Below are 27,657 nucleotides of genomic sequence, written 5' to 3'. Positions count from 1 at the left end.
CACGCAGGGAAGGCAGGGCAGCCCAGAGAGGCGAGTCAGCCTGCGGGTCTCCCGCTCGGGCTCTCCCCTCCTCCACCCACCGCCTGGCCATGTCTGCGGCCCCATTCTATCGTTTACACAAAATCATTATATAATGAGCTGGCGAGGCTCCGTATGTTCTACAGTAACCTGTTTGGAATCATAGGATGCAGTTGTCACAGCGGAGCATGCGCAGAAACCTGGCTATTTTTTTTTTTTCTCTTGAGCTCAAGGCAAGAGGTAACTGTCGGTCAAATCCTGCTGAGCCCTGCTGACTTCAAATACAGGATGCTAAAAATGAAATACAGGGGAGGGGCGGGGTGAGCCCCGGAGCGTGCCATGCACTGTGGGCTTACAGCCTCGGGGAAGTAATATCAGGGTAGTAACTACACAGATACACGGCGTGGAATACGGAAGACTTTCCATTTGTACTTTAGCTACCTCTACGATGTTGGTGTGCTGGGCGTAGACATGAAGGGCGCTAGGATAAGGTGAGGTGGGTGGCTGGGGGCCTGATGATTGGTTTGTTGTTTGTTCCTAATGCCAGAAAACCAGAAAGGGAGATTCCTGACCACCCCTGGAAACAGCACTTACAGTAACTGTGTCCAGCAGTGAACTCGCCGACACCCCGCCATCCCTCTCCGGAGCTCGGGGAAGTGAAATGCGCATCCCTGTCCCCACCGCGTCTCTCTCTCCGGCGCGCGCAGAAAGGCGGCCGGCAGGAATCCGGGCTTGCCCCTCGCGGGTCTCCCCGGGCCTTCGCCGCCGCCTCCCCGAGTGGGTCCGGGAGAGGGTGTCCCCGGGAGTGCAGTCGCAGGCTCCGGCTCTCTGGGGGCAGCTTCCTCTTTTGTTCCCCCAGACCTTGCCTGGCGTTCCTGGGGATGGCGCGAGAAGTCCCCGGTCCCCAAGCCCACAGCCGCGCGCGCGGGGCTCCCCTTCTTCAAGTCCCCTCTTCCCTCCGGCCCAAGCTGCGGCCCCTCCCCAGTCCCCAGTGCGCTCCGGGTCCCCAGCTCCCCACGCCCCCCGCCCAGAAGCCATCAGGTCAAGGCCATCGGTCCAACTTGTAGGGCAACTCGCTGCCCCCGCCCCACTCCCGGCCCCTCCACCTAGTCCGTGCTCTCTGCCGGTGCAAGGGGCATCCCGAGGCTCCAGGTGGCCCTGGCGGAGGGGCAGGGGCAGCGATCGGAGCCGGGCGCCACTCTAGGGTGCCCTGGGTCAGCGCCCAGAGGACGCGCTCCTGGGAGGGGTGTCAGGTCGAGCTTGCGAGTCTTTGTGTGTTTCCTGCTCTCCTTGAAAATAAAACCGTTCCCGGCGGACGAAGGATGCGCTCACTCACCATGGCGGTGCCGACCGAGAAAGCGGCCATCAGACAGGCCATGCCCCGGGGGCGGCGGCGGCGGCGGCGGCGGCGGCGGCGGGGACGAGGCTTGAGCTGCGGGGCCGAGGCTGCGCTGGCTCCCGGCTCAGCCGCTGCGCGGGGTGCGGGCTGCGCTTGGGCTCCGGCTGGGATCCGGCTCCGGCTCTGGTTCCAGCGCGCCCGACCCCGCCCCGAGCGCGCGATTGGCCGGCACCAAGGGGGCGGGCGGGCCGGCAGGTGCGCGTGCTCTTGTTTTGCTCCTGCTGGGGGCGGCGGACCAGGACCCCTGAAGTGCAGGTTCCGGGAGCGGCCCGAGCCGAGGCCTCGCAGGCGGCATGGGAACCCCCTGCCACCCCGGAAACCCCGGGTCCCGAACTCGCGGGGGCTGGGCCAGCACGGGTGAGGCTGCGGGGACACCGGACAGACGCCGGGGTTCCCAGGCTCGGAAATCCACTGCCTCCAAGCCTCAAGCGGCTGTGTGATGGGGTCGAAGAGGGGGCGTCCAGGGAGGGAGAGTGAGGGCCAGGGGGCTTCTTTCTTGCTGCTGCTTCTTCCCTTCCCGCCCACCCCACCCCGACGGTGTTGGGCAGCTCTCTGCCAGGTAGGAGCTTGAGGACTAAAGAAGAGATAACCACTCCAACGCCCCCAACAGCACCGGTGTGGGGTGACCCCTGGCAGTGAGGCATCGTGTGCACTCACACATGTGACATTGCTGTGCGCCAGCCATGGTGCTAAGTGCTGGGTTACAAAGGGGTGCTGAGTGAAGATGCCCAGGCCTCTGCCCTCTGTTCACCCCCGAACAAAAAAAGAAAAGCCTCATTTTCTGCAGACAGAGGTGTTTCCAGAGCCATGTTCATGGAACTGTATAAGGAATAACACCAGGGCACACTCCCATGTGGCCCCAGGCTGGAATATCAGATGGTCCAGCATCTCTAAAGCCCTTATTATATATAAGTGGGGCCATTTCCTGGTATCCATGGTGACAAGGAATTCTTTACTCCCAGTCTCAGGCCCTAATGCTTTTGTTCAGTTGTTTGCATGTTGGGACGAAAAACAGGAATGCATTTCTTTTCATTTCCAGCACACCTGGGTCCCCCCTCCCAACCACACCTCAGATGAGCCAGGTCTCTCTCTTTCTCCTCACCTAGAAAGGAGGCACAGCTTTTTATGCCAGGCAGGTGGACTTCACACCCACAGGTCAGATGACTGTAACCAAATTCAGCCGCTCAAATCGAAGGAGAGAAAGGAGACACGGTTATGAGTTTAAGTGGGAGGCCTTGCCTTTGTCTGAATGGTGTTGTCTCAAGAGTCATCCAGCCGGGCGCAGTGGCTCACACCTGTAATCCCACCACTTTGGGAGGTCAGGAGATCGAGACCATCCTGGCTAACATGATGAAACCCCGTCTCTACTAAAAATACAAAAAATTAGCTAGGTGTGGTGGCGGGCACCTGTAGTCCCAGCTACTATGTAGGCTGAGGCAGGAGAATGGCATGAACCTGGGAGGCGGAGCTTGCAGTGAGCCGAGATTGAGCCACTGCACTCCAGCCGGGGTGACAGAGTGAGACTCCGTCTCAAAAAAAAAAAAAAAAAAAAAAAAAAAAAAGAGTAGATCCATTACCTTGATTTTACACTTGGCTGAAATGAGGAAATCTGACTGCTGTGTTTACCAGGTGCCACTGCCCGGGTGCCAGGCCTTGGAGGCTGTGTGGTGCCTTAAACATACACTGCAGGGAGGCCAGCAAAGCTTGAGTGTGTTGGGAAGAGGATTCAGATCCACAAACCTAGGGAGTGTTTACGCCAAAACACAGAGAGGAAAGTGCCTGATGGCTGGAGATGGGGACTGGTGCCCAGCCCTGGGACCCATCTCGCTCCAGGAACAGACAGGCCCTGGAGCACGAGAGGAGGCACGGAACACAGCCGGGGAGGAACTGTCCATGTGGCCAGGGCAAGTGAGGGTGCCTGCAATGACATAATTTCTGTCCAATATCCATCCTCCTCACTTCCAGGAATGTGCCCAGAATTTCCTTCTAGACATTCCCCCTCTTCTACCCCCACCCAGTTCTCTGCCCGAAGATTTATGCGGGATTGATTCACCTTCAGCTCGAGAATAGGCAATTGGCTTCAGCCGGTGGATGGCCCCCATCCAGCCTGGCCATCCTGGCTGGTCCGGAACTGGAAGTGTGAGGCAGTGCTTACTGGGCTGCTGGGAATGGCCAGGGGGATGGTGTGTGGAGCGTGAGGATGAAGTCAGAGAGGGAAGATGCTATGCTGGGCCCTTGTTGGCTTTGGCTGCTGGATTTTCTGTTGCAGGATAAGTGAAAGGGTCCTCACTTATCTGTCTGTACAGTGGGGTCAAAATCCCCACCACGTGGGAAATAAGGCATGGCAAGCACTTTCTAGCATGCCCAGCACCGAGTAAGCATCCCACTGTAGTCACTGCTGTGTTCCCCTCCAGCGCCCGATCGGGAAAGAAGCCAACAGTAGCGTAGCACAGGACCCCATTCCTATCAAGGCTCTTGGTTGTAAAGGACAGAAACTCCAACTGGCTTAAGCTAAGTACAGAAAGGTTCGGAGTGCAGTGGTTTCAGGACTACTGGGACCAAAGACCTGTACTACTCTGTCCTCAGCCCCTGGTCTCTTGCTGTCTCCACGGCTCTGGCCTCCCCAGGTGGTCTCCCCTCTGGCAGGCTGTCTCTGCATGGCCCCCCAGCAGCTGCAGGCTTGCTCCTGTCACCTGGCAGCAACCACTGCATCAGGGGGTTGCCAAACCCTGATGGGCCTGGCCTGGTTCACATGGGATGAAATGAGAAGGTTAACCCCAATGGGACCCTGCAGAAAGACTGGGCATGGGTGTCCAGCCAAGACTTTTCGAGGCATTCTAAGTAGAACCCTGAGGATCAACCAGGCAAGGGGAGCTCTCGACAGGACCAGCTTAGTCCCAACCCCAACAGAAATTTCTGCTAAGGCATTGCTGACAGCTGGTAATTTCCAGTGGGGAGCCACTTCCTGTCTGTATTAGTCCATTTTCACGCTGCCGATAAAGACATACCTGAGACTGGGCAATTTACAAAGGAAAGAGATTTAACGGACTCACAGTTCCATGTGGCTGGGGAAGCCTCATGATCATGGCGGAAGGTGAAAGGCATGTCTCACATGGCGGCAGACAAGAGAGAGAGCTTGTGCAGGGAAACTCCCCTTTATAAAGCCATCAGATCTCATGAGACTTATTCACTATCATGAGAATAGCATGGGAAAGACCTGCCCCTATGATTCAGTGATCTCTGACCAGGTCCTTCCTACAACATGTGGGAATTATGGGAGCTACAATTCAAGATGAGATTTGGGTGGGGACACAGCCAAACTATATCACTACCTCAACTGGCAACCCACTCCATTATTAAGTGTTGTCACCATTAGCAAACTGAACCTGTGTCCAATTGGACTCCCTATCACCCTGACTGCTCTGCACACCATAGCAACATGGAGTCACTCCCCAGAGTAGGCCCTGGCCAGCCAATGATGGCAACAACATTCTTTCCAGACCCTTGTTCTCTGGACCAGATGCCCCCAGTCTCTCCAGTGTGGCTTCCTAGAAGACGCCCTTTTGTCCCACTTTCCCCTTCTCGGGATGGGTGCCAGTTCCTCGTGTCCCTCATGAAATTCAGGGCCACCAAAGAACACCTATTCAGTGTGATCAGGACAGAACAGGCCAGGGTGATGTGCTCCTTCCCTCTAGAGGGTCTGCATCTATTAGCACAGCCCATGTTGGCCTTGACTTGCAGCCAACAGCATCACCCAGTTGACTTCGAGTGGAGTCAATGGAAGTCTAGGTCTGTGGGAAGAGAACTCTTATTCCATCTGGCCTTCCCTATGGTGTCCCATTTTAGAAGTGTCTGATTTATTTCTGTGGACTTCCAGCTGCTGAGGCTGAACATGAAGGGGAGAAAGGGGCACACTGAGGACTTGGCCTCTGGCGTGAGGATCCTGCCCTTGGTGCTTGTGAGGGTGGGTGCAGGGGAGTCACATGTCCAGGTGGGCCTGTGGTGGGGTGACCCCTTGTCCCTGGTGAGTTTCTGCAACCAGCCAGGCCATTGGGGTGAGACTGGCTTGGTGACTTGAATTGCCCCATCTTCTGCAGGACCCCAACAACAGGTCTCTGAATCCCTGGTTCCCCTGCAGATCCCTCTGCTTCTCCACCTGGGCCGAGGCTGGTCTGCATGCAGCCTGCCAATGTGCACACAGACCTGACCTGCCTGCTGTGTCTTCGGCTGCCTTGTGCTTCACTGTGTGGCCGGGGACATCTCGCTCACTTGACACCTCCCCATTTCATGGAGGAAAACAAAAAAACAAAGAAAGCTGTCCCTCTGCCCCTTTGCCCAGCTCCTCTCTGCACCATTCCCACTGCTGCCTGATGGCAATATGAAGTATGACAGCTTATGGGATTTTTTTCCCCCAAATTCTGGAAACTGGGTAGGAGAATGGGGAGAAGGCTGCAGAGAGATGTTTGTCTGCTTGCCTGCTTTTCACAACCCAGATCTCTGACTCTGAAGATAAAAGTTCCCAGCCAGTTAAGAACAGAAGATGCTGCCCCAAGTGTAAGTAGGAAAGAGGGCTTGTGGCTCTCCTGTCTGACAGTGGTGAGTGATGTGAGGGAGGGAGAGACAGGGATGAACACCGTGCCCTCGTCATCCCAGGCCGGGACAACACAGCAGGTGCTCATGCTCGAGACGCATCCCTGTGGCGAGCTTGCCTTGGGCTGGGCCTGGAGATCTCCCTTCTGGTCAGCCTGGCCCCGGCCCTGTTGGCTTCTCTGACCAAGGGAGGGAGTGTACGTGTGTCTTAGTCTATTCTGGCTGCTGTAACAAATATCGTAGACTGGGAAATCTGTAAACTACAGAAAGGTATTGTTCATAGCACTGGAAGCTGGGAAGTCCAAGGTCAAACTCCAGCATCTCTGGTGTCAGGTGAGGGCCTGTTCCTCATAGATGGCGCCTCTGTGTCCTCACATGATGGAAGAGGAAGAGATGGGCCCTTCAACCTGTCTTATGAGAGCTCCACCCTATTCATGAGGCAAAGTCTTCATGAACTAATCACCTTCCAGAGGCCACACCTCTTAGTACTATCAGAGTATTAATCACACTGAGCATTAAGTCCCAACAAATAAATTTAGGGGGAACCCCAACATTCAGACCATAGCATTCCACCCCTGGCCCTCCAGAATTCAGTCTTCTCACATGCCAAATATGTTCATTCCATCTCAATAGGGCCCAAAGTCTTAAATTGTTCCCGGCACCAAATAAAAAGTCTAAAGCCCAGAGTCCCAGCTACACATAATTTAAATCAGATGTGAGTGGGACTCAAGGTAAATGTCCTCTTGGGGCAAATTCCTTCAGCGGTGAACTTGTGAAGTCACACAAGTTATGTGCTTCCAAAATGCAAGGATGGGGCAGGCACAGGGCAGACACTTCCATCCAAAAAGAGAAAAACAGAAAAGAAGAAAGCGATAACAGGTCTCAAGTAAGTCCAAAACCCAACAGGGCAAAAAGCATTATATCTTCTTTGACTCCATGGTCCCACCTTCTGAACACTCTAAGGAGGGACTTAGGCCCCCAGGGCTCTGGGTGGCACCTCCTACATGGGTTTGCTGGGCACAGCCCATACTGCAGCTCTCATGGGCTGGAGTCTCCTGCCTGTGGCTCTCTCAGGCTGGAGGTGCACGTCAGTGGCTCTGCTAGTCTGAGGTCTTCAGGTGGCCCTGCCCCCACACCTCCACTGGGCATTGTCCTGGTGGGGGCTCTCTGCAGTGGCTCTGCCCCTGTGGCAGTTCTCTGCCTGGACCCCAAGGCTCTCCAAAGCATCCTCTGAAATCCAGATGGAGTTAGCCATGCCTCCATAGCTCCTACCCTCTACACACCCATGGAGATGGCCCTGCACAGAAGCCCAAGGTTTATTGATTGTGCCCTCTGAGGGAGACACACTGCAGCAGGTGCCGAGGTCCTGCAGGCACTCCAGGCACCTCTGTGGGCATAGTTCTGTCCCCCAGACCTCGGCACCCTGGGCCTGTGATGGGAGGGCAGCAATAATAACCTCTGAAACACCTTCAGGGTTATGCCGTCACTGTCTTCATGCACAGCACCTGGCTTCTGCCTGTCCATGCTAATCTCTGCCTGAAACGCTAGTTTGGCTACACCCTTGATCTTCTAAACATGCTTTTTTATTCTTTACAGTATGGTCAGGCTGAGAATATTCTGCAAGTTCTGCCTCCTTTTTGACTATAAATTCTGTCTTTAGGCCAGGTGCGGTGGCTCATGCCTGTAATCCCAGCACTTTGGGAGGCCAAGGCGGGCGGATCACGAGGTCAGGAGATCGAGACCATCCTGGCTAACATGGTGAAACCCCATCTCTACTAAAAATACAAAAAATTAGCCGGGCATGGTAGCGGGCACCTGTAGCCCCAGCTACTCGGGAGGCTGAGGCAGGAGAATGGTGTGAACCCGGGAAGCGGAGCTTGCAGTGAGCCGAGATTGTGCCACTGGCAACACAGCAAGAGTCCGTCTCAAAAAAAAAAAAAAAAAAATCTGTTTTTAATTGATTTCTTCCCTTCTCACATTTTACCATAAGCAGTGGAGAGAAGGTAAGCAGTGTCCTCAAGACATGGTTTAGAGTGTTTCTTCCACCAAATATTCAAGTTCATCCCTTGCCACTCTGACTTTCACAGAACATGAGGACACAAACAGTTCAGCCAAGTCCTCTGCCCTCTGTCACAAGAATGGCCTTTCCTCCCGTTTCCAGTAACACGTTCCTCATTTCTGTCTGACACCTCAACAGAGTGGCCTTTACCATCCATACTTCTATCAGCATTCTGATCACAGCCACTTACATAATCTCGGAGGCTCTGTGTCTTCTTCTCAGCCCTCACTAGGATCACCCTTTATGTCCACTCTTGGCAGTCCAGGCCTTTTGAGCCTGTTCCTCTAAACTCTTCCAGCCTCTGCCCATTATCCAGTTCCAGAGCCTCTTCCACATCTGCAGGTCTTTGTCTCTGCAACACTCTGCTTCTTGGTACCAATTTCTGTCTCAGTCCATTTGGACTCCTATAACAAAATACCTTAGACTGCGTAACTTAAAAACAACAGAAATGTATTGTTCACACTTCTAGAGGCTGGGAAGTCCAAATTCAAGACGCCAGAAAATGCAGTGTCTGGAGGCCTGTTCCTCATAGGTGTGCCTTCTGTGCCCTCCCGTGGTAGAAAGGAAAGGGGCTCCTTTCAACCTGTTTCAAACCATTTAATAAGTTCGTCAATCCCATTCCTCATGGCCTAATCACTTCCCAAGGACCGCATCTCTTTTTTTGTTATTGTTTTGTTTTGTTTTGTTTTTTGATTTTTGTTTTTAAGACAGAGTCTTGCTCTGTCACCCAGGCTGGAGTGCAGTGGCACAATCTCGGCCCACTGCAGCCTCTGCCCCCCAGATTCCAGCGATTCTCCTGCCTCAGCCTCCTAGGTAGCTGGAATTACCAGCGCATGCCACCGTGCCCAGCTAATTTTTTTTTTTTTTGTATTTTTAGTAGAGACAGGATTTCGCCATGTTGGCCAGGCTGGTCTTGAATTCCTGACCTCAGGTGATCCACCTGCCTCGGCCTCCCAAAGTGCTGGGATTACAGGCATGAGCCACCAGGCCAGGCCCAGGATCGCATCTCTTAATGCTGTCACTATGGGTATTAGGTTCTAACATATGAATTTGGGGAGGATACCAACATTTGGATCATAGCAGGGAGAAAGTAAGGAAGGAAAGAAGAGAGGTAGAGACAGAGAGAGGAAGGAAGGAGGAAGGGAAAGGTGAGTGGAGAAAGGAAGAAGAACAGGAGCAGAGGAAAACCATGCCTTAGCCCTTCAAGCAGAAGCCTGGGAAAGTGGGTCAGACACAGAGACCATGTCATCAGGGAGGGCAGCAGCATAAGGCTGGTTGGATACACCAAATAGCAACTCTGTGTGTTGGTTCATTTGAAAGAAATGGGAATGCTGAGGCCAGGTGCAGTGGCTCACACCTGTAATGCCAGCACTTTGGGAGCCCGAGGCGGGCGGATCAGGAGGTCAAGAGATTGAGACCATCCTGGCCAACGCGGTGAAACCCTGTCTCTACTAAAAATACAAAAATTAGCTAGATGTGGTAGCACATGCCTGTAGTCCCAGCTACTCCAGAGGCTGAGGCAGGAGAATGGCATGAACCTGGGAGGAGGAGGTTGCAGTGAGCTGAGATCACGCCACTGCACTCCAGCCTGGGCAACAGAGGGAGACTTGGTCTCAAAAAAAAAAAAAAAAAAGAAGAAAGAAATGAGAATGCTTAATCTCCACTGTTTGTTTCCTATTTTGCTGGCACTCTTGACTTCAATGGTATTCTGTCTCCAGCATCCAGATACGCTCCTTCGCTTCCTCTGGTGAGCCAGCCCAGCTATAGAGAGGACCCCTTCTTCACCAAGCACACACAGCCTGTGGGAGGTCAGTGCAAAGGAGGGGCCATGAGATGAGGGAAATCAAGGAGGCAGGGAGGTGCAGGGTGGAGGGAGGGGGGCGGCAGATGCCTGGAAGCTATGGTGGCAAGACAGATGATGAGAGATGGTTTCAGGGGAAAAACTGCAAGTAGATATTTCATAGATTAAGTTAAGACAAGACAAGTTAAGTATTACAGACAAATTCCTTTTGTTTTCTTCCATTAGCATGGAATCAAGAGTGGCTGGGAAAGATCTAGGAAACCATTTCTTCAAATGAAGAAAGAGTAAATAACATCTGGCCCCAAGATGACCTTCAAAGTTGAAGATTAAGACAGAAGTCTCAGAGACAGATACCGGAAAATTACTGGAGGCCTCCTTCCCACAAATAATTAAAAGCTTCCCATCACACCCATAACAAATACCTGCTAGGAAGTAACTGGAACCACTGTGTACCCCACGTTTCCTCCAAGGAACCTCCCACCCCTGACTCCGTGTGGTCAACCATAGAACTCAACCCCCACCTGGAGCCTCCCAGAACATTCCATCCCTCTGGCCACTACTGATGTTCTGGAAAAGATACACAACCCAGCAGGGCCATCAGAGTTCTCGCAGGGACTTCCTGGACCCTAAGAGGGAGAGGGTTTCTTTCCCTGTTCCCTTTTGGCATTGATGTAAGGAGAGTGTTTGTCTGGCTAGGAATTAAGTAAACACCCCCAGGGAAGTAGAGCCGGAGACGAAGGAAGTGACAAAGCCCTTTCATCAGCCCTTTCATCGCTGGAGCCCCTACATCCTGCCCTCCCGAGTTCACACCCATTGTCCATCATTGGCCCTTCCCAAGTGGCTGGGCAACCATTTTTAACTTTTGATAAGTGCTGGGCCCCAGAGCCAGATGGCGGCTCTTTAAACAAACTCGTTCTTCTCTGTGCCCCTGTGACCTCAGCTATTAAGCGGGCTGATGATCCATCCTGTTCACCTCAGAAGACTGTTTCAAGGATGAGAGGTGTCAGCATTTGAAAGCCATGGCCGGCACATAGTGTGCATCTTATAAATGCTGGTGCTCACTATTATTATTCTTTGTTACGGGATCCTCTACTCTCCCTTCTGACCTTGAACTAGTATGAATTAGATTTCAGTCACTTGCAGCTAAGAAGTCTTGATTACGATCATCAGTTTGACAAGGAAGTTAAAAGTCAGAGGCCCAAAGCCACTCTATGAGAAAATCCTTACAAGTAGTTTCTAGATTGACCCTCTAACCCTTAGCTTTTTCTTCACCCAGTATATGCATTATCTCTCCAAAGAGATGATAAATTCCAGCATCTCACTAATATTGCTTTGCTCTAACATCATTCCCAGCACGGAGCCTAGCTGGAGTAGGTGCTTAATAAAAACCATGAGTTATGTTTGGACAACCTCGAGTGCTTTAGAAAATGTTGTAATGTGCATGATTGCATTTTGCCTCAGAACGCCCTGTGGGGTAGGAGGGCAGGTGCCATCGCTGGACCCTCATGGGTTTTACACTTTCACACCAGGCACCAGGCAGCCCACATTTTGCTATTTCTATCAGTCAGATGATCTGTGCCTGGTCCCTCAGAGGCAGCTCCTCCATGCCAAGCCCAGGTCAGGTCCAGATCAACTCTCCATGGCTCCAAAGGCCACAGTTCAAGTGTTCTGTGGACTCAGCCCCCTGATCACCTGAGCAGAAGTCCTCTTGCCTCCCTGAGACCTCTGAGCTCTCCTGGTGCCTGCAGACTCCACAGCTCCCCTTTCCAGGCTCCGAGACATTTCTCCTGACCCTCCTGCCTCCCTCCCCCAGAACCCCAGCTCTGCATTCCTCCTCTCCAGGAGGGCCTGGGGCAGTCACCTTGTGGAGCCTAAGCTTTCAAAAGCAAAAGTTTGATTAGAGAGATTATCTTCTGCATGCCTGGAAACTTCTGCCTCAGGTCCTGCAACTCCCTAAAGGCTTTAGGAGAAAAACAACTCATTTTAAAAAAGAAAAAAAGACATGACTACTTTTTAAAGGGAGGGGAAAATTGCTAGAGCAGGGAAAATTAACATCATAAATTATCTCAGTAAATTATCCTGCTACATGAAAAAAAGAAAATGGAGGCTCCCTGAGGTTTGTAACCTCCTTAGGGCCATAAAGCCCCGAAAAAGGATCCAGGTCTCCTAGCACCTGGCTAAGTATCTTTTCCACACGTTCACTGCTATCAGGTATTTATTGGGTGAAGACGGCAAACCTATTCCAAATGGGCAGATTTCTACAAGGAGCACAAGTTCAATCTGTTCAAGGTCATAGGACAGGCTTGTGGGAAGATGGAATAGACATATTTTTCCCTACTTCTCCCTCTAAGCACAATTCAAAACCTTGGATATTACACAAAACCAACATAAGGAGACTCTAGAAGATAGGAAAAGGAAGGCAAACCATCCAGGGTTCTTGGGACCCAAAGAGCCACACTGTGGTGAGGTCCCTAGATTTTTGTTTTGCATCATATGTCCCAGAGTTTGAGTTGAAGAAGCTGAAAACCTGGAAATGCAAATGAGCACAGACCAAAAAAAAAAAAAAAAGTCCCAACAAAAGCCTGCTCTCTCTAGCCAAAAGAATAGGAAAAGGGGAACCTAGAGGACAGAAAATTTTTAGACAATAACTTCTCTGCTTCAACCAAACATTCCAGAATAAACTGTGGTCAAATGTCTGCCCATGCCAGCAAAGAAAGAGTGGGGAGTTCAGATTTCCACCCTCCTCAGGCTGTAATTAGGCACATAAACCAACTCTTACTCTTCTAGCCATAATATATGTGTCAGAGAAGGCCAATTAGGAAGTCTGGACTTCTGCTCCCACTGGGCACTAATGAGAAGCTCCTCGTCCACCTTGCTGGGGTGGTGACAGGAGACCCAGTAGAGTCAGGACTTTCACCACCACCCAGGGTAACAAGGATACTCATCACCCTGTGATGTCATGAAGACCATGTGGGGAACAGTAGTTAAGGTCTTCTACCTCCCCCAGCTAGGGAGGTATCAGTAGAGGCCAAATGGAAAGCCAGAACTTCAACCCCCATCCAGTGGTAATGAGGAGCCCCTCTTTTGGGTGTCAACAAAGGCTGAGCAGGGAACCTGGACTTCTACCCTTGCCTGGTAGTAAGGTGGCAGTGCCGTGCCCCCGTCCCCTCCCACAGTGATGTCAGAGAAGCCAATTAATGGATGGATGCCAATCAATGCATGCCAATGCAAAGAGGACAGCAGTGTTAGAATTATCCAACAAATGTTAACAAGCAGCCATCATAAAAATGCTTCAGTGAGCAATTATGAGCAGACTTGAAAAAATAAAATAGAAAGTAGAAAGTCTTAGCAAACAAATAGAAGATAAAAAGAACAAAATAGAAAGTTTAGAATGGATTACCAATATTAAAAACTCAGCAGATGGGCTTAATAGCAGAATGGAAAGTACAGAGGAAAAAATTAATAAACTGGGAAATGGAACAATAGAAATCATCAAATCTGAACAACAGAGAAAAACAAGCTGAACAAAAAATGAACACAACTTGAGGGGCCTGTAGGACTGTATATACAGATCTAACAGAAGCCCAGAAGTGGGGCTGAGGGGTTAAAAAGTAATCAAAGAAATAACAGCTGAAAACCTCTCAAACTTACCAAAAGATATAAACCTACAGATTCAAGAACCTTAGCAAACTCCACACAGAATAAACCCAAATAAAACTATACCAAGACATATTACAGTCAAATTTCTGAAAACGGAAGACAAAGAAGAAATCTTAAAGGGAATGAGAGAGAAACAATACCTTACCTATAGGGGAAAAAGCAATTTACATGACAGCATATTTCTCACTGAAAACAATAGAAGAAGACAGAAAGAATTAGCACAACATTTTTTATTTCCTGAAAGAAAAAAAAAAAAAACTGGCCACCCAGAAATCAAGATATTCTCAGATAAAGAAAAACTAAGAAAATGTGTCACTCATAGACATAACCTAAAATAATGATGAAATGAAGTTATTTAAACATAAATAAAATGGTAAAAGAATGAAACTTTGAACATCAAGAAGGACAGCACTTTGAGAGGCTGAGGCAGGAGGATTGCTTCAGCACAGGAGTTTGAGATCAGCCTGGGCAACATAGTGAGGTCCCATGTCTACAAAAAATTTTAAAATTATCCAGATGTGGTGGCACCATGCCTGTAGTACCAGGATATAGAAGAACTCAATAACACCATTCATCAATAGGATCTAATCAATATTTATATAACACTCCACCCAACAACAGAAGAATGCACATTCAAGTATCCATAAAACAGATACCAAGTTAGACCATATTCTGGGCCACAGAGCAAACCTCAACAAACTCAAAAGAATTGAAATTGTACAGATTGTGTTTGTTTGTTTGTTTGTTTATTTATTTATTTATTTATTTATTTATTTATTTTTGAGACAGAGTCTCCCTCTGTCACCCAGGCTGGAATGCAGGGGCATGATCTCAGCTCACTGCAACCTCCACCTCCCGGGCTCAAGTGATTCTCATGTCTCAGCCTCCTGAGTAGCTGGGATTACAGGTGTGTGCCACCATGTCTGGCTAATTCTTGTACTTTTAGTAGAGATGGGGTTTCACCATGCTGGTCTCTAACTCCTGGCCTCAAGTGATCCTCCCACCTCAGCCTCCCAAAGTGCTGGGATTACATGCATGAGTCACCATGGCTGGCACCAGACTGTGTTTTCTGGTCAAAGTGAAATCAAATTAGAAATCAATAACAGGAAGATATAAGAAAAACTTCTGAACAGTTAGAATCCAAACAACATACTTTAAAATAATTTATGAGGCAAAGAGGGAGTCTGAAGGGCAATAAAAATACATTTACCTGAATGAAAATGAAAATAAAAATACATGAAAAATGAAAATAAAAATATCAAAATTTGTGGGACACAACTAAAACAGTCGGGAAAGGGAAATTTATAGCACTGAATTCATATACATTGGAAATGAGGAAAACTCTCAAAATGATAATTGAAACTCTTACCTCAAGAATGTAGAAAAAGGAGAGAAAAATCAGAAAAGAAAGCAAATAATCACAGAAATCAATGTAATTGAAAAGAGAAAGCCAGTAGAGAAAATCAATGAAACACAAAGCTGGTTCTTAGAAATAATCAATAAATTGTTTTTCTTTCTTTCTTTTTTTTTTTTTGAGATGGAGTCTTGCTCTGTCACCCAGGCTGGAGCGCAGTGTCATGATCTTGGCTCACCATAACCTCCGCCTCCCAGGTTCAAGCAATTCTCCTGCTTCAGCCTCCAAGTAGCTGGGATTACAGGTGCCCACCACCACACCCAGCTAATTTTTGTATTTTTAGTAGAGACAGGTTTTTACCATGTTAGCCAGGCTGGTCTTGAATTCCTGACCTCAGGTGATCTGCCCTTCTCAGCCTCCCAAAGTGCTGGGATTGCAGGCATGAGCCACCATGTCTGGCCACAATCAATAAAATTGACAAACCTCTAGCAAGATGAGCAAAGGAAAAACAGAGAAGATACAAATTACTGATATTAGGGATGGAGCAAGCGACATCACTACAGATCCCACAAGCATCCAAAGGACAATGTGGGAACACTACAAACAACTCTGCAATCATGCATTTGACAACTCAGATGAAATGAACCACTTCCTCGCAAGATGCAAACTACAACTCACTGAATATAAACAGACTATTTGAATAGTCTCATAACTATTAAGAACATTGAATTTAGTTTTGAAAACTCAAAAAAAAAAAAACAACAAAAACAACACCTAATTCTCCAGGCCCAGATGATATCACTGGAGAATTCTATCAAACATTTTAAAAAATTAACACTAATTCTAGGCAATCTCCTCCAGAAAACAGAAGAGGAAGAAATACTTCTCAATTCATTTTATTTAGTTAGCATACCCAGGTATCAAAATCAGACAAATATAATATTTTTAAAAAATACTATAGTTGATCATTGGCTGAGGCAAGAGGGTTTCTTGAGCCCAGGAGTTCGAGGCCTTAGTACACAATTGTCATGCCTGTGAATAGCCACTGCACTCCAGCCTGGGCAACACAGCAAGACTACTACACTGCAGACCAATGGCCCTCATGAATATAAATACAGAAAACCCAAACAAAATACTAGCAGACAGAGTCAGGAATATATTTTAAAAATTATATACCACATTCAAGTTGGGTTTATTCCAGAGACGTAAGGCTGGTTCAATAGTTGAAAGTCAATCAATGTAATATACTATATTAATAGATAAAAGAGGAAAAAAATCACATGATCATGCCAATTGATGCAGAAAAAGCACTTGACAAAATTCTTTACCCATTCATGGTTAAAACACTCAGAAAAATCGGAATAGAGAAGTTCCACTTGATAAACAGCATCAAGAAATCTACAGTTAATAATATAATTAATAGTGAACAACTCAATGCTTCCTCCTTAATATCAAAAATAATGCAAGGATGTTTGCTTTCACCACTCTTATTCAACATGATGCTGGAATTTCCAGCCAGTGTGGTAAAGCAAGAAAAGGAAATAAATGGCAGACAGATTGGAAAGGGAAAAAAAAGCAAAACTGTTTCTATTTTCAAATGACATGATTGTCTACCTAGGAAATCCCAATCTATCCACAAAAGCACTCCTGAAACAATAAGTGAGTTCAAGCAAGGTTGCAGGATACAAGATAAACATACATAAATTTTATTTCTATGCTCTGTCAATGAACACATGGACACTGGAATTAAAAACGTGACACCATTCACAACTGCTCAAACAAAATTCAATACTTAGTAGTAAATGTAACAAAACAGGTACAGGACTTGTATGCTAAAACCTACAAAATCCTGATAAAAGAAGTAAAAAAAGAACTAAAGAAAAAAGGAGAGAAATACTGTTTATAGATTGGAAGACTTAACGTAGTAAAAATATCAATGATCAACAAAATATGCATGTTTAATGCAATTGCTATTAAAATCCCAGCAAAATTTTCTGTATATATAAACAAGAGTAGTCTAAAATTTAAAGAAAGGCCAAGGAGTTAGAATAGTTGAAACGATTTTGAAAACAAAGAATAAAGGAGGAGAAATCAGCTTACCTGGTATCAAGACTTATTTTATAGCTACAATAATCCAGACTGTTTGCTATTGGCAAAAGGACAGACGCAAAGACCAATGGAACAGAATGGAAAACCCAGAATCACACCCACTCAAAGATACAAAGCAAATCACTGGAGGAAGGATGGCTTTTCCAGCAAGTGCTGCTGACACATTTGGGTATCCACGGGCAGAAAAAAAGAAACTGGACTTAAATTTTCTTATATAAAAGTTAACTCAAAATGCATCATAGATGTGAAATAACCTTTCAGGGAAAAAATATTAGGAGGAAATCTTTAGGATACGGAGCCAAAGAGTTCCAAAAGCATGACCCATAAAATGAAAAATTGATAAACGGGACTACATCAAAATGAAAAATGTTGACTCTGAGAAAGACCCTGTTAAGAAGACGAAAAGTGTTAATAACAGACCAGGAGAAAATATCTGCAAATCTCATCTCCAACAAAGGATTAGGATTCATAATGCCTGAAGAACTTTCAAAATTCTCCAATGTTCTACATCTATGATGCATTTTGAGTTAACTTTTGTATAAGAAAATTTAAGTCCAGGTTCTTCTTTTTTTCTGCCCGTGGATACCCAAATGCATCAGCAGCGCTTGCTGGAAAAGCTGTCCTTCCTGCACTGATTTGCTTTGTATCTTTGAGTGGGTGTGATTCTGGGTTTTCTATTCTGTTCCATTGGTCTTTGTGTCTGTCCTTTTGCCAATAGCAAACAGTCTACACCAAGAGATAGCTGTGACTGTTGAAGTCTGGGCATTGTGGCTCACACCTGTAATCCCAGCACTTTGGGAGGCTGAGGCCAGAGGATCGCTTGAGCCCAGGAGTTCAAGACCAGCCTGAGCAACAGGGTGCGACCTCATCTCTATAAAAAATTTTAAAAATTAGCCAGGCGTGGTGGTGGGCACCTGTAGTCTCAACGACTCAGGTGGCTGAGGTGGGAGGATCGCTTGAGCCTGGGAGGCAGAGGTTGCAGTGAGCTGTGATCGCGCCCCTGTACTTCAGCCTGGGTGACAGAGCGAGACCTTGTCTCAAACGAAAAAAAAAAAGGGAGAGAGACTGTTGTGACTGTTGAGTAAGATTAAGATGGGGGTGACTAAGTTGCCTGGGAGCTGCCGAGAGAGGGATGGGGGGAGGGAGGCGTGCATTCAACAGCGTTGCACCCTGAGATCACACCCCTCCTCTAACCTGCCGGCCCCCGGTTTTCACTGCTCATCTCTCCCCAGATGGCTTTACTCCTCCATGCTTCCTGTGCTGAATTGTTGTGTAGAAAGTTCTGCAAGGAAAAGTGGGTGGATACATGCACAAAGGCACTCCCACCAGCCTGAGATCTTCAACCCTAGGTTTGTAATATTTCAATATTCAGGTTTTCACTAACATGAAACCCATCTGAATTTACATATTTATTGTCAACTTCCCTCACAAGTCTCTGGGAACAGCCTGGTGAGGGGAGTCAGAGGGGTCTGGAGTGGAACCCTGGCCTCCATACTCAATAGCAGACCAACCGGAACAAAACCTGTACCCAGGCATGGTCCAGGGGTGGGGATCCATCCGTGGGTAAACGCTGCTGCTGCATGGAGATGACATTGCAGAGGGCAGGGACAGGCACCTGCACACTCAGCAGGACACTGCGCCCTGCATGGACCAGGAGAACCACAGCATTAGGGTAAGGTGGTTTGGGGGACAAGGGCAGAGTTCAAGTCCCCAGGGTGGGGCACCTGGAGGGATGACCCTGAAGGGCAGAAGTGCTGAAGGTTGGAGACACAGGTCCCCAGTTTGCCTCGGGCTGGCCCCTCACCAAACTACACCGCAGGAGCTCCCACAGCCCACACCAAGAATCATCTCTAGACTACATCAGGCCCACGGAACGAGTTGAAACAAGCCCAGTCTGGATCTGAGCTTTAGCTTCCAAATCCTTCCCTGTCTCTTCTGACCACACCTGAGGGCAGGGCTTTCTCTGTTTTGTCCACCCCTGCGTTCCCAGCATCAAGAACAGCTCCTGGCACAGAGTCGGTGATCCCTGATGTCTGCTGAGCACGGGGCTGAATCTTAGGTCTCAGGAAGCGAAGTTCAGGTTGGTGTAGCGCTGTGGTGGAGTGGAAGAAGGTCGACAGAATGAAGCTCACTCAGATTAACTCAGGGTAGCTCACCCTGTCATGTAAGACAAGTCCCCAACCCCTGGGCTGCAGACCAGTCCGTGGCCCGTTAGGAATGGGGCCACACAGCAGGAGGTGAGCGGCAAGCGAGGGAGCTTTATGGCTTGAGCTCTCCCTCCTGTCAGATCAGTGGCGGCATTAGACTCTCATAGGAGTGAAAACCCTATTGTGAGCTGAGCACTCAAGGGATCTAGGTTGCACGCTTCTAATGAGAATCTAAATCTAACTAATGCCTGATGATCTAAGGTGGAGCTGAGGTGCTGGTGCTCGTGCTGGGGAGTGGCTGCAAATACAGATTAACATTGGCAGAGAGGTTTGACTGCACAGAGACCATAATAAATCAACTGCTTGCAGACACGTATCAAAACCCTATCAGTGAGTGGCAAGTGACAGTTAAGCTACATCTGGTGGCAGGCTTTATAGTGGCAAGTGAGGTGAAAAAAAAAAGCACAATATGCTGGGCTTAACACCTAGGTGGTTGGTTGATAGGTGCAGCAAACCACCATGGCACACGTTTACCTATGTAACAAACCTGCACATCCTGCACATGTACCTCGGGACGTAAGAAAAATGAAAAACAATAAAATAAGAATAAAACAAAATACAAAAAACACAGTAGGCCAGGCGTGGTGGTTCATGCCTGTAATCCTAGCACTTTGGGAGGTCGAGGCAGGTGGATCACTTGAAGTCAGGAGTTCGAGACCAGCCTGGCCAACATGGTGAAGCCCCATCTCTACTAAAAATACAAAAGATAGCTGGGCGTCATGGTGCATGCCTGTTGTCCCAGCTACTCAGGAGGCTGAGGCAGGAGAATCACTTGAACCCAGGAAGCAGAGGGTGCAGTGAGCCGAGATCATGCCACTGCACTCCAGTGCAACAGAGGGAGACTCCGTCTAAAAAAAAAAAAAAAGTGCAACATAAAAGTATTGCATTTGAATCATCCCGAAAGCATCCCTCCACCCCACCCCCAAACCATGGAAAAATTGTCTTCTGTGAAACCAGTCCTTGGTGCCAAAAAGTTTGGGGACCCCTGATATATGAAGACTGCACGTAAAAAGGTTGCAAATCAAAGCCCCACACTTCCAGGAAGACTGTATTCATGCCCAACACTTGATCAGAATTCTTCTTCACAGGCTGAGAGGGGGAGGCTGGGAAGCCATGGGATGTACCCAAAGGCTTCTCTGGAGGGATCTAGAAACCCGTTGGGACCCTGCAGAGGAGTAGGCAATCCAAGCCACCAAGCCGGCCTCACCCCCATGGCCCGGCTGGCCGCACATGCTCACCAGGGGCCATGGGCAGCCCTGCCACAGGCCCACCTGAACTTGTGACTCCCCTGCACACACCATCACAGAAACCGAGTGCAGGATCCTCACACCGGACCCCAAGTCCTCAGGGTCCCCCTTTCTCTCCCTCATGTCGTGGGCTCTGACTCATTCTCACTGCATCTCCCAAATCCAGGCAGCTCACCAATATTTGGTGTCTGACTGGTATAGGTCACAGATACTTTACATCACAGTTTAAGTCACAAATGATTGCTGCCTGAACTAGGAGATGTGGCTTACATTTTTCTTAATCTACATCTAGTTAATTACACTTATTCCATACATTTATATTTAAAGATATTTTCTTACTAGAAAGCATTTTGTCAGTGACTTACCCACAAACATAGGTAGTCCAGCTGCTGCCCTCTGAAGTGACATATATTTATTTTGCAATTAATAAAGGGAAGAAGAAACTCCCTTAAGTGGGACAAAATTTCAGTTTTCACCACTGCAGGCATGTAAAGCCCCCCAAACTACAAATGATGATTCAGTGTCTGTGTAATGCTACAGGGAGGATTGTTTTAAAATCAGCATGATGCAATTCCATGTGTAATAATATTGCCTAATGTAATTGTTACTGCAGAAAACAGGAAGTGAGCAGGGTTACTAAAGGGCAGTTCTGTTCCCTCACAAGTCACTGGGCGTAAAGCAGCACCTAGTACCTGTCCACAGAAGGACCCAAGTAGGAAAATCTACCCATCTCTCACTTTTGGTCAGATTATAAGTTGTACATTCGTGAACATAGTGGAATTTATTTTTTATAACACACATTGAAAACAATTACGGCAAAAACTGAAATTCCTCCAGGTCTACAGTGTAATAGTTTTAGGTAAATCAAATTTTCGTCTAGATTAACTTTAATGACATCATATCACAATACCTCTAGCCAATGATTATTGCAGCAAAGTGGGGGAAAGTGAGCTGGTGAAGCCTCTGAGATCTCAGCCCTGGAAGGGAGCTTAGCAGAAACCTGGTAACAAGGACGAATGGAATGAAGGCTGTATTAGGTGCTCTGTGCTGAGAAGTCTATCCATTAACTCACTTAATCCCCATCACAGCTCCATGAGCCAGACACTGTTATTATTCACAGTGGGGAAGTAAGGCACAGATTATTTTACTTGCTCAAGGTCACAGCAAGAAAGTACCCAATTCCAGAGTCAAAACAGGTGGGTGTGGCTCCAGAAGCTGCCCTTTTTTTCCTTCCTGTAAGGACTGCTTTTTAAGTAAAGTGCACAAATCTTTCTGTAAAGTCTGATGAATATTACATGTCTATGCACCTGTACATTCACCATCCAGATCCTGATATAGACCATTTGCATTGTGTAAAAATGTTCCTCTTCCATTTCCTAACCAATTACTGTCTCTACAGGTAAACATTATTCTGGCTTCAATTACCATAGATTAGCTTTGTTTATTCTTGATCTTTATATAATTGGAATACAGTATTACTACTTTGTGTCTGGCTTCTTTCATTCATATGTTTTTGTGATTCATGCACGTTAGTGCTTGAGTCCATAGTTTACTCTTTTATGTGAGAGAGTATCTTTTCATTCTCCTATTGGTGGACATTTGGGTTGTTCTCAGTTTGGGGCTATTATAAATAAAGTTGCCACTAGCATTCTTGTATCTGTCTCTTGGTGGATACAAACATTCATTTTTGTTGAGTGAAATCTACCAGAGAAATTGCCAGGTTATGGGACAAGAATGTGCTTAATGCTAGTGGATGCTATCAACCAGTTTTCCAAATTTTTACCGACTTATACTCTTGCCTGCAATGTGAGAGTTCCAGTGGCTCCACGTGCTTGCCCTCACTTTGCACTGTCAGTTTCTGTAAAATGTAGCCACTCTGATTGGAATGTGATGATCATATCATCAAGGCTTTAATTTGCTGTTCTGTACTGATTAATGATGTGCCACTTCATTTTTTTTAAGTTGTATTGTTTTGATTTTAGTATTGGTTTGTAGAATTGCTTAATATTTCTAAATAGGTGCCCTCTGTCACATAGATGGATTTTGAATATGTTTTCTCAGTCTGTAGTTTGCCATTTAGGTTTTGTTTTGCTTTTTGTTTTTGTTTTTTTGATACGGAGTCTCACTCCGTCACCCAGGCTGGAGTGCAGTGGCATGATCTCAGCTCACTGCAACCTCTGCCTCCCAGGTTCAAGCAATTCTACTGCCTCAGCCTCCCAAGTAGCTGGAATTACAGGTGCCCTCCACCATGCCCAGCTAATTTTTGTATTTTTAGTAGAGATGGGGTTTTGCCATATTGGCCAGGCTGGTCTTGAACTCCTGACCTCAGGTGATCCACCTGCCTCGGCCTGCCAAAGTGTTGGGATTATAGGCGTGAGCCCCTGCGCCCGGCTGACCATTTAATTTTGTAATGATGTCAGTTTTCGTCTTTGTTTTTTGATGACAGAAGTTCTTAGTTTTAATGAAATCTAATCACTTTTATAGTTAGTATGTGTGTGTTTTCTTTAAGAAATCTCTGAAGAAATGAAGAATATGAAAATACATTTATTTGCTTTCTTCTAGAAGCAGCACTGTTTTCATTTTCAGATTTAAGTTTATGATGCATCTTGAATTAATTTCTATGTAGGCTGAAAGGTGCATTTTTTCCAAATGCTTTCTTAGTGTCTCCAGCACTAGGGATTGAAAACGCCCTCCTGTCTTCATTGCACTGGCTCTTTGATGTAACCAATGGCCGTATATGGGAGGAAGGTAAATCTCTGAACCATCTGTTCTTCTCCACTGCTCTGTTTATCTGTACTTGTACCAACACCACGCCATCTTAATTACGGTAGTTTTTAACTAAGTTTTGAAATATGATAGTGTAAGTTCTCCAATTTTCTTCAAGGTTGTGTTGGCTGTTCTGGATGTTATTTCTGTATAAATTTTAGAATCACCTTGTCAATTGTCTTCAAAAAAGGGAGCAGGAGAGAAAGAAGAAAACAAGCATACTGGGGTTTTGACTACGCCACATTCATAGATTAATTTGAGGAGAAATGATATCTTAACACATTAAATGTCCTGATCCATAAATGTAGAATAGCTCTCCATTTATTTGTCTTTTAAAATTTATCTCTGCAGTGTTTTGTTTTGTTTTGTTGGGACAGGGTCACACTCCTGTCACCCAGGCTGGAGTACAGCAATCACGGCTCACTGCAGCCTCAACCTCCTGGGCCCAGGTGATCCTCCCACCTCAGCCTCCCAAGTAGCTGGGACTACAGACGTGCACCACACCCGGCTAATTTTTTGTACTTTCAGTAGAGACCAGGTTTTGCCATGTTGCCCAGGCTGGTCTCAAACTCCTGAGCTCAAGTGATCTGCCTGCTTTGGCCTCCCAAAGTGCTGGGATTACAGGCGTGAGCCACCAGGCCCAGCTCTCTGCAGATTTTTAAAGTTTTCAGGGTTGAGTTCTTGTTCATCTTGAGTTGTATTTATTCTTAAGTATTTAATATTTTTTATCTCATTGTAAATGATATATTTTAGTCTTGCTGTCTAAATGTTTGGTGTTAGTCTATAAAAAATAGTATTGACCTTTGTATATTGACTTTATAGCCCGCAACCTTGCTAAGATCACTTGTTTCTGTACTAATCTTTATTTCCTTCTTTCTGCTTGCTTTGGGTTTAGCTTGCTCTCCTTTTTCTAGGTTCTCAGGAGGAAGTTTAGGTTATTTATCTGAGATTTTTTTTTAAATACAGGCATTGGCAGCCATAGATTTGCCTCTCAGTGCTGCTTTTGCTGCATCCTGGACCTTTTGGTATGTGGTGTTTCTATTTATTTTCATTCATTTTAAAGTATTTTCCAATTTCCTTTGTGATTTCTTCTTTGAACTATCGTTTATTTAAGAGAATACTGTTTAATTTTCACATTTTAGTGAATTTTCTAAGATTATTTATTAATGATAACAGTTGATAGATTTGTTTAGAGATAGTTTGACTATGTTGTGCCTGAGTATAATCCTTTAAGAACTTATTCATCTGGCTTGGATCTAATTTCTTGACTCTGTGGGTTGCTGTCTTTCATAAGATTTAGAAAATATTTATCTATTATTTCTTCAAATCTTGCATCTCCCTGTCTCTCTCCCTCCCTCTCCCTCCCCACTCTCCCCCTTTCTCCAGGACTCCAGTCACACCTGTGTTGGCATTGACTATATCAACATAATGTTCTGTTTCTACCATTTTTTTCTCTCCATGATTTGCTTTGGATGTTTTCTATTGATCCATCTTGAAGCATATTAATCTTATGTTCGGCTAGATGCAGCCTGCTCTTAAAGCCATCTGCAATACCCTCATGTCAAATAGTTATTTGTGCTTCTGGAATGTTAATTGGTGACTTTTGCAGATTCCAGTTCTCCACTGGGATGCTCTCTCTTTGCACCCCTCATGTCCATCTTTTCTTCTGTTTTTAGCATATTTACAAGCATTACTTCCCAGTCTTTGGCTGCTCACTTCCTTCTCTGGAGCATGGCCCCTGAACACACAGCTGTTTCCAGAGGGGAGGAGGTGAGGCTGGCCTCCCACAGCTGCGCTGCCTCTCACCCACAGCCTGCTGCTGGGGTCAGCTTTGTCTTCCCACGTGTGCATCATTTCTTAGGGTCCCCAGCATGCCATTTCCAGGAACCAGGCCAGGAGCTGAATGTTGCAACCCGTCTATAATAACAGCAATGCAATCACCCAAACAGTGGTGAGGTCACCGGCCTGTGACTGACAGTCAGGGGGTGCCTTTCCTTTTCCACAAACGACTTGGGAACCTGTCTTGGGCAAATCAGGTCTACACATAAAAATTGTTTTCATCATTTTCTTGAATCAGCCCATCCACATCCAGCAGGACACGCCCTTCAGCCACTGCTCTCTGGCCACCTACCTCTGGGTGCACTTGGATTTCTCAGCTCCCCCCATAAGAAGTTGTGACTCCCCCACCCCCAGCTCTCCTGAGGGGCCTGAGCCCCTCAGAGGAGAGCAGAACCCACTTCTGAGACAGCACCTTTCCTGCAGCCTGAGATCAGTGCGGCTCCCTTAGCTGCTGGCATTGTCTGCAGGCATCTCCATGAAGCCCATCATCGGTGTCATCCGCCCATGCTCCTGCAGCGCCTGCCCTTGGCTGGCTCCTGTGGCTTCTCCAGCCGGGGCAGCTGAGGCTGCCAGCGCCTCTAACGAGTGCCTCGGGTGGGAAAGGCCTGAGTGTGGGGCTGCCTGGGGGTGATCAGTGCCTCCAGCCACATTAACTCGTTTTAGGTGTGCTTGATTCACTCCTGAGAGGTGGAGGGCCAAACACTGAGGGTCTCTGTTCTCTATTCAAGCCACTGTCCTTTCCTGTGTGGCAGCTGAGTGTGATGATGGGGCATTCCCAGCACCTGTGAGCCCAGCCACAGCATCACAGACGTGGGGAGCGGAGGGATGTCCCTTCCTTCCCTTTGCTCCATTGCCTCAGGCATTGGGATGATGGCACGTGCCTCTCCAGCCCCAGGTATGCAGTGTCCTTCTTCTCAAATCCACCTCCTGTTCCCCTGCAGGGACCTGGCCCAGGGGGTCTCCAGCTCCCGGAATCCCTCCCCGCAGCCCTTTCCCGATGATCTAACTCCATGCCCCACCTCCTGCCTATGGCAAGGCCCACAGCCTGGGATCCCTCAGAGATTCTGATGGGGTGAGACTGGGCATCTTCCCAGGCGATTCAAGTCTGCCTCCCAGACAGAGAACACCTGAAACTGAATGTGTGCAAGAATCATCCAGAGTTTGCCCAACACACTGGCCACATTCTGACTCAATAGGTCTGAAACTGCACATTTTGTTTTTTATTTATTTATTTATTTTTTGAGATGGAGGGCCGCTCTGTCGCCCAGGCTGGAGTGCAGTGGTGTGATCTCAGCTCACTGCAACCTCCGTCTCCTGGGTTCAAGCAATTCTTCTGCCTCAGCCTCCCCAGTAGCTGGGACTACAGATGCCTGCCACCACGCCCAGCTAATTTTTTGTATTTTTAGTACAGACAGGATTTCACCATGTTAACCAGGATGGTCTCGATCTCCTGACCTCATGATCCACCTGCCTCAGCCTCCCAAAGTGCTGGGATTACAGGCATGAGCCACTGCCCCCGGCCGAGGCTGCACATTTTGAACCAGCTCCTTGGGTCTAAGTGCCCACATCACTTCTGTATTCCTTCTTGAAAATGGTATCATCGTAACGTCAGCCCTGGCAGAGCGTGCCAACTCCCTCCCCATCTGTCATGAACACCTAACCCTCCAGCCCCACCCAGACTGGCCAGGCCTCCCTGCCTCTTGCACAGTGACTGAGTGTGATGCCATCACAGTTCTGAAGCCAGGCTGCCCTGTAGAATCACCTGGGGAGTGACTGTCACCCCTGACCCATAAGGCAGGAGCTTGGGGTGTGGGATCCAGGAAGAGGGGACTCCAGTGGGTGACCAGAGTTGAGAGCCATGCCTCGGGTCAGTCCTGAGCCACTGGAGGTGGCAACGCTGATGGTCAGTGTCCTCCGTCTCTTTCACAACGCTTTGCCAGTCCCCTTGCACACATACCTCAGGGGCTTTGCACCCCTGCTGCAAGGGGCCATCTGCTTTCCTAACCTGGTCTGCTGGTCTAAGCCCATCAGGCTGCCCTCACTGCCGGCCTCACCTGCTGGTGCAGTCTGAGGTCATTGCAGGCAGGATTTGTGTATGAGCTCAGGCCACGAGGACATGAGGATGAGGGTTTTGCTTTGTTTTTTCCTGATGAACCACAGGATAAGAAATGATTCACTCTGAAAAATACGCCGCAGACTATTTTCTTGCTCTGCTGAAAGCTCAACAGGTCTGAGAACCACAAAACAGCAAGGAGACTGTGGTGTGGAGACTGTGGCGTGGAGACTGTGGCGTGGTGGCTGGCTGGGATGATGACAGGCAAGGGAGTGGCTTACCCGCGGGGGCTTCACCCTGCTGGAGCACCCTGGGCCATGCTGGGAAGGGCAGGAGCTGTGTCTCTGAGGGCCCCCCTGGAGCCTCCTGCGGGGACCTCCTCTGGTCACCACCCCTCTGCATCTTTGGTGTCCTTGAGCTCAGTCATCCTCTCCTTACCTTTCAGAACCTGCTCTTGGCATCTGAGACCAGCTGTTTGGCCCTCGCTCCTCTCAGGGGCGTTTGTATTCAAGCTGTGCTGTGTGCTGTGGAACTGTGTTCTGCCATTTAAAGCCA

At 47.8% G+C, this 27,657-nt stretch overlaps 1 protein-coding gene and 1 long non-coding RNA gene across 12 annotated transcripts in view, besides 4 other annotated features; one reads left to right on the top strand and one right to left on the bottom strand.

The window, feature by feature from the left end:
* ABCG1 (ATP binding cassette subfamily G member 1) overlaps window positions 1-20,970 on the bottom strand; it is a 97,556-nt gene extending 76,586 nt beyond the window's left edge. For 4 of the 11 annotated variants that reach the window (XM_047441054.1, NM_004915.4, XM_047441055.1 and 1 more), the window contains exon 1: window positions 1,355-1,519. In XM_047441054.1, the coding sequence (XP_047297010.1) occupies window positions 1,355-1,396 (42 nt within the window). In that variant the 5' untranslated portion in view covers window positions 1,397-1,519. Of the gene's footprint in view, window positions 1-612; window positions 762-1,354; window positions 1,520-4,470; window positions 4,583-13,672; window positions 13,714-18,935; window positions 19,083-20,809 lie in introns of those variants that run through there. The other 7 variants (XM_011529807.4, XM_011529806.2, XM_047441053.1 and 4 more) reach the window with 4 other exon arrangements.
* Window positions 79-610: an enhancer, noted in NCBI's record as "H3K4me1 hESC enhancer chr21:43640159-43640690 (GRCh37/hg19 assembly coordinates)". NCBI's record gives its function as "activates a minimal SCP1, AML or CMV promoter by ChIP-STARR-seq in primed H9 embryonic stem cells {active_cell/tissue: H9 hESC(primed)}" and the evidence as "EXISTENCE:reporter gene assay evidence [ECO:0000049][PMID:30033119]".
* LOC105372814 (uncharacterized) lies at window positions 389-11,276 on the top strand. Its single transcript, XR_937748.4, has 3 exons — window positions 389-509; window positions 9,785-9,874; window positions 10,093-11,276. It is a non-coding gene; the product is annotated as an uncharacterized LOC105372814 (long non-coding RNA).
* Window positions 1,541-1,810: a silencer, noted in NCBI's record as "silent region_13338". NCBI's record gives its function as "represses an Ori minimal core promoter by ATAC-STARR-seq in GM12878 lymphoblastoid cells {active_cell/tissue: GM12878}" and the evidence as "EXISTENCE:reporter gene assay evidence [ECO:0000049][PMID:35858748]".
* Window positions 11,509-12,009: an enhancer, noted in NCBI's record as "H3K4me1 hESC enhancer chr21:43628760-43629260 (GRCh37/hg19 assembly coordinates)". NCBI's record gives its function as "activates a minimal SCP1, AML or CMV promoter by ChIP-STARR-seq in primed H9 embryonic stem cells {active_cell/tissue: H9 hESC(primed)}" and the evidence as "EXISTENCE:reporter gene assay evidence [ECO:0000049][PMID:30033119]".
* Window positions 27,157-27,657: an enhancer, noted in NCBI's record as "H3K4me1 hESC enhancer chr21:43613112-43613612 (GRCh37/hg19 assembly coordinates)". NCBI's record gives its function as "activates a minimal SCP1, AML or CMV promoter by ChIP-STARR-seq in naive H9 embryonic stem cells {active_cell/tissue: H9 hESC(naive)}" and the evidence as "EXISTENCE:reporter gene assay evidence [ECO:0000049][PMID:30033119]".

Source organism: Homo sapiens, chromosome 21 (assembly GCF_000001405.40).
Source record: "Homo sapiens chromosome 21, GRCh38.p14 Primary Assembly".
In the NCBI taxonomy this organism is placed as follows: domain Eukaryota; kingdom Metazoa; phylum Chordata; class Mammalia; order Primates; family Hominidae; genus Homo; species Homo sapiens.
This window is presented reverse-complemented; position numbering and strand designations above follow the sequence as displayed.